The sequence below is a fragment of the Homo sapiens genome, chromosome 7 (assembly GCF_000001405.40).
Source record: "Homo sapiens chromosome 7, GRCh38.p14 Primary Assembly".
In the NCBI taxonomy this organism is placed as follows: domain Eukaryota; kingdom Metazoa; phylum Chordata; class Mammalia; order Primates; family Hominidae; genus Homo; species Homo sapiens.
In genome coordinates this window covers 66,175,157-66,179,911 of record NC_000007.14, presented here as the reverse complement: position 1 = coordinate 66,179,911, position 4,755 = coordinate 66,175,157, and the positions used below count along the sequence as shown (strand labels likewise).

The 4,755-nt window shown below is 49.8% G+C and overlaps 1 annotated feature.

Annotated features, from left to right (window-relative positions):
* Window positions 1,810-1,973: a silencer, noted in NCBI's record as "fragment chr7:65642926-65643089 (GRCh37/hg19 assembly coordinates)". NCBI's record gives its function as "represses an EF-1alpha promoter that drives an FKBP-Casp9 reporter gene in an ReSE screen in K562 erythroleukemia cells {active_cell/tissue: K562}" and the evidence as "EXISTENCE:reporter gene assay evidence [ECO:0000049][PMID:32094911]".

Below are 4,755 nucleotides of genomic sequence, written 5' to 3'. Positions count from 1 at the left end.
TTTTTTTTTTTTTTGAGGAGTCTCACTCTGTCATCCAGGCTGGAGTGCAGTGGCGCGATCTCTGCTCACTGCAAGCTCTACCTCCCAGGTTCACGCCATTCTCCTGCCTCAACCTTCCGAGTAGCTGGGACTACAGGTGCCCGCCACCACGCCTGGCTAATTTTTTGTATTTTTAGTAGAGATGGGGTTTCACTGTGTTAGCCAGGAAGGTCTCGATCTCCTGACCTCGTGATCCACCTGCCTCAGCCTCCCAAAATGCTGGGATTACAGGCGTGAGCCACCACACCCGGCCTACTCACTCTTATTCTTCACAGATTTCTCAGTGGTTATTTTGTCTATTCTTTTGTTTGTTTGTTTTTGAGACCGGGTCTCTGTGTCACCCTGGAGTGCAGTGGCACCATCTTGGCTCACTACAGCCTCAACCTCTCAGGCCCAATCAATTCTCCCACTTCAGCCTCCCAAATAGCTGGGACTACAGGTATATGCCTCCACACCTGGCTATTTTTTGCTTTTTTTATTTTAATTTTTATTTTTTTAGAGACGGGGTTCTTGCTATGTCATCCAGGCTGGTCTCGAACTCCTGGGCTCAAGCAATCCACCCATCTTGGCCTCCAAAGTGCTGGGATTACAGGCGTAAAGCACCATGCCCAGTCATTATGTTTATAACTGTGTTGTGGATATTTGTCATGTTTGTGAGCTGACTTTTTTTTTTTTTCAGACAGTCTCACTCTGTCACCTAGGCTGGAGTGCAGTGGCATGATCTCAGCTCACTGCAACCTCTGCCTCCCGGGTTCAAGCAATTCTCCCTGCCTCAGCCTCCCAAGTAGCTGGGATTACAGGCATGTGCCAACACACCCAGCTAATTTTTGTATTTTTTGTAGAGATGGGGTTTCTCCATGTTGGCCAGGCTGGTCTCGAACTCCTGACCTCAGGTGATCTGCTCGTCTCCACCCCACAAAGTGCTGCGATTACAGGCGTGAGTCACTGTGCCCATTTGAGAAAAGGAATCACTAGCTATGGTAGCCACAGCCTTACAGAATGTATTTCTTTTTTTTTTTTTTTTTGAGACGGAGTTTTGCTTTTTCACCCAGGCTAGAGTGAAGTGGCACGATCTTGACTCACTGCAATCTTTACTCCCCAGCTTCCAGTGATTCTCCTGCCTCAGACTTCCCAGTAGCTGGGATTACAGGCGTGCGTCACCACGCCTGGCTAATTTCTGTATTTTTAGTAGAGACAGGATTTCACCATGTTGGCCAGGCTAGTCTCAAACTCCTGACCTCAGGTGATCCACCTGCCTCAGCATCCCAAAGTGCTGGGATTACAGGCATGAGCCACTGTGCCCGGTCTTGTGAGCTATTTTGAAGAATTTTCTGCCTTATGAGTCTTGCCACTACCCCATCCCCCAAGTTAGAAGCCAGGAAGCATGATTCTCCAGCCTCCCTTGCAGCTAAGGAATGGTCATGTGACTTAGGCTAGGTCATGTGACTGAGGCTCCACTAATCCAACATACTGTTGTGATACTTTAGAAATAAACATGAGCCAGGCATGGTGGTGCAACCTGTAATCCCATCACTTTGGGAAGCATAGGTGAGAGGATCGCTGGAGCCCAGAAGTTCAAGGCTGCAGTGAGCTATGATCATGCTACTGCACCCTAGCCTGGGCAACACAGTAAGACCCTGGTCTCTTTTTTTTTTTTTTTTTTGAGATGGGGTCTTGCTCTGTCTCCCAGGCTGAAGTGCAGTGGTGTGATCTTGGCCTACTGCAAGCTCCGTCTCCCGGGTTCATGCCATTCTCCTGCCTCAGCCTCCCAAGTAGCTGGGACTACAGGCACCCACCACCACGCCCGGCCAATTTTTTGTATTTTTAGTAGAGACGGGGTTTCACCATGTTAACCAGGATGATCTTGATCTCCTGATCTCGTGATCCACCCGTCTTGGCCTCTTAAAGTGCTGGGATTACAGGCCTCAGCCACCACACCCAGTCCCAGACCCTGGTCTCTTAAAAAAAAAAAAAAATGGCCAGCCACAGTGGCTCACGCCTGTAATCCCAGCACTTTGGGAGGCCAAGGCAGGTGGATCACGAGGTCAGGAGATCAAGACCATCCTGGCTAACACGGTGAAACTCCGTCTCTACTAAAAATAGAAAAAATTAGCTGGGTGTGGTGGTGGATGCCTGTAGTCCCAGTTACTCAGGAGGCTGAGGCAGGAGAATGGCATGAACCCGGGAGACAGAGCTTGCAGTGAGCCCAGATTGCGCCACTGCACTTCAGCCTGGGCAACAGAGCGAGACTCCGTCTCAGAAAAAAAAAAAAAAAAAGAGGCCAGGCACGGTGGCTCACGCCTGTAATCCCAGCACTTTGGGAGTCCGAAGCGGGCAGATCATGAGGTCAAGAGATCAAGACCATCCTGGCCAACATGGTGAAACCCTTTCTCTACTAAAAGTACAAAAATTAGCTGGGCATTGTGGCACATGCCTGTCTGTAGTCCCAGCTACCTGGGAGGCTGAGGCAGGAGAATTGCTTGAACCTGGAAGGCGGAGGTTGTAGTGAGGCAAGATTGTGCCTCTGCACTCCAATCTGGCAACACAGTGAGACTCTGTCTCAAAAAAAAAAAAAAAAAGAATTAATTAAATAAACAACATGAAAAAGCAGGCTCTATGTGGAGTCCATCCATCTGCTGGTGAGGATGACCACAGCAATGTCCAGCTCTGGGGGCTGGCAATAGCTGTGAGGTTGAGTTCCAGATACACATGTGGCATTGGTGCTGGTGACAGTGGTGGATGCAGTGGTTTCTGTCCCTGGCATCAGTGCACATTGGCTCAGTGTCCTGCACTTGGAAGGCTGGTTCTCTCATCATTTCAGTTTTGCAACGTGGTCTGGGCACTGTTCCTGGGAGCCCAGGGCCCTAGTGGTTCTGAGAGTTCCCCAGTGCCTGATAATAAATGCTTTTTCGGCTGGGTGTGGTGGCTCATGCCTGTAATCACAGCACTTTGGGAGGCTGAGGCAGGAGAAGTGCTTGAGGCCAGGAGTTTGAGACCAGCCTGGGCAACATAGCGAGATCCTCTTTCTACAAAAAATGGAAGAGAATAGGTGGGTGTGGTGGTGTGTGCCTATAGTCACAGCTACTCTGGAGGCGGAAGCAGCAGGATGGCTTGAGCCCAGGAGTCTGAGGCTGCCATGGGCTATGATTGCACCACTGCATGCCAGCCAGCCTAGGTGGTAGAGACCCTGTCTCAAATAAATAAATACCTGTAATCCCAGCACTTTGGGAGGCCAAGGTGGGCAGATCACCTGAGCTAAGGAATTCGAGACCACCCTGGGCAACATGGTGAAACCCCGTCTCTACTAAAATACAAAAAATTAGCCAGGCATTGTGGCAGGTGCCTGTAATCCCTGCCTACTTGGGAGGCTGAGGCAGGAGAATCACTTGAGCCCCGGAGGCAGAGGTTGCAGTGAGCCAAGATCACACCATGGCACTCCAGCTTGGGCTACCGAGTGAGACTCCATCTCAAATAAATAAATAAATAAATAAATTTTTTTTGAAAAGTGCCTTTTCTGTGCTAACTAGAGTATGTGCTGATGTTTGTAACTAGGAAACTTAACTGATACAGGAGGCAAAACTAAGTTAGGGAAGAAAGGTATAATCCAGAATAAATTGTAGGTATTATCTAGACTGACTTTAGGCCAGGTGCAGTGGCTCACAACTGTAATCCCAGCACTGGGGAGGCCAAAACGGGCAGATAACTTGAACCCAGGAGTTTGAGACCAGCCTGGGCAACATGGCGAGACCCCCATCTCTACAAAAAATACAAAAATTGGCCGGGCACGGTGGTTCACGCCTGTAATCCCAGCACTTTGGGAGGCTGAGGCGGGTGGATCACAAGGTCAGGAGATCGAGACCATCCTGGCTAACATGGTGAAACCCCGTCTCTACTAAAAATGCAAAAAATTAGCTGGGTGTGGTGGTGGGCGCCTGTAGTCCCAGCTACTCGGGAGGCTGAGGCAGGAGAATGGCGTGAACCCGGGAGACGGAGCTTGCAGTGAGCCAGGATTGCGCCACTGCACTCCAGCCTGGGTGACAGAACGAGACTCTGTCTCAAAAAAAAAAAAAGAAAAGAAAAAAATACAAAAATTAGCTGGGTGTGGTGGCAAACGCCGTTAGTCCCAGCTACTCGGGAAGCTGAGGGGGAAGGATTATTTGAGCCTAGGAAGCAGAGGTTTCAGTGAGCCGTGATTGCACCACTGCACTCCAGCCTGGGCAAGAGTAAGACCCTGTCTCAAAAAAGTGAAATAAAATGAAGTGCGATCCACGTGGGTCAGCAGCACCTGGGGGCTTGTTAGAACCACTTAATGTCAATATCACTCCAGTCCTGCTGAATCCACATTCGCTTTTTTTTTTTTTTTTTTTTTGAGACGGAGTCTTGCTCTGTCACCAGGCTGGAGTGCAGTGGCGTGCTATCAGCTCACTGCAACCTCTGCCTCTCAGGTTCAAGCAGTTCCCCTGCCTCAGCCTCCCAAGTAGCTGGGATTACAGGCACGTGCCACCACGCCCGGCTAATTTTTTGTATTTTAGTAGAGACGGGTTTTCACCATGTTGGCCAAGATGGTCTCAATCTCCTGACCTCGTGATCCACCCGCCTAGGCCTCCCAAAGTGCTGGGATTACAGCTGTGAGCCAGTGTGCCCGGCCCACATGCGCATTTTAATGAGATATCCAGGGAATTTGTTAACACAGATCAAGAAGCAGTCACTGCAGTG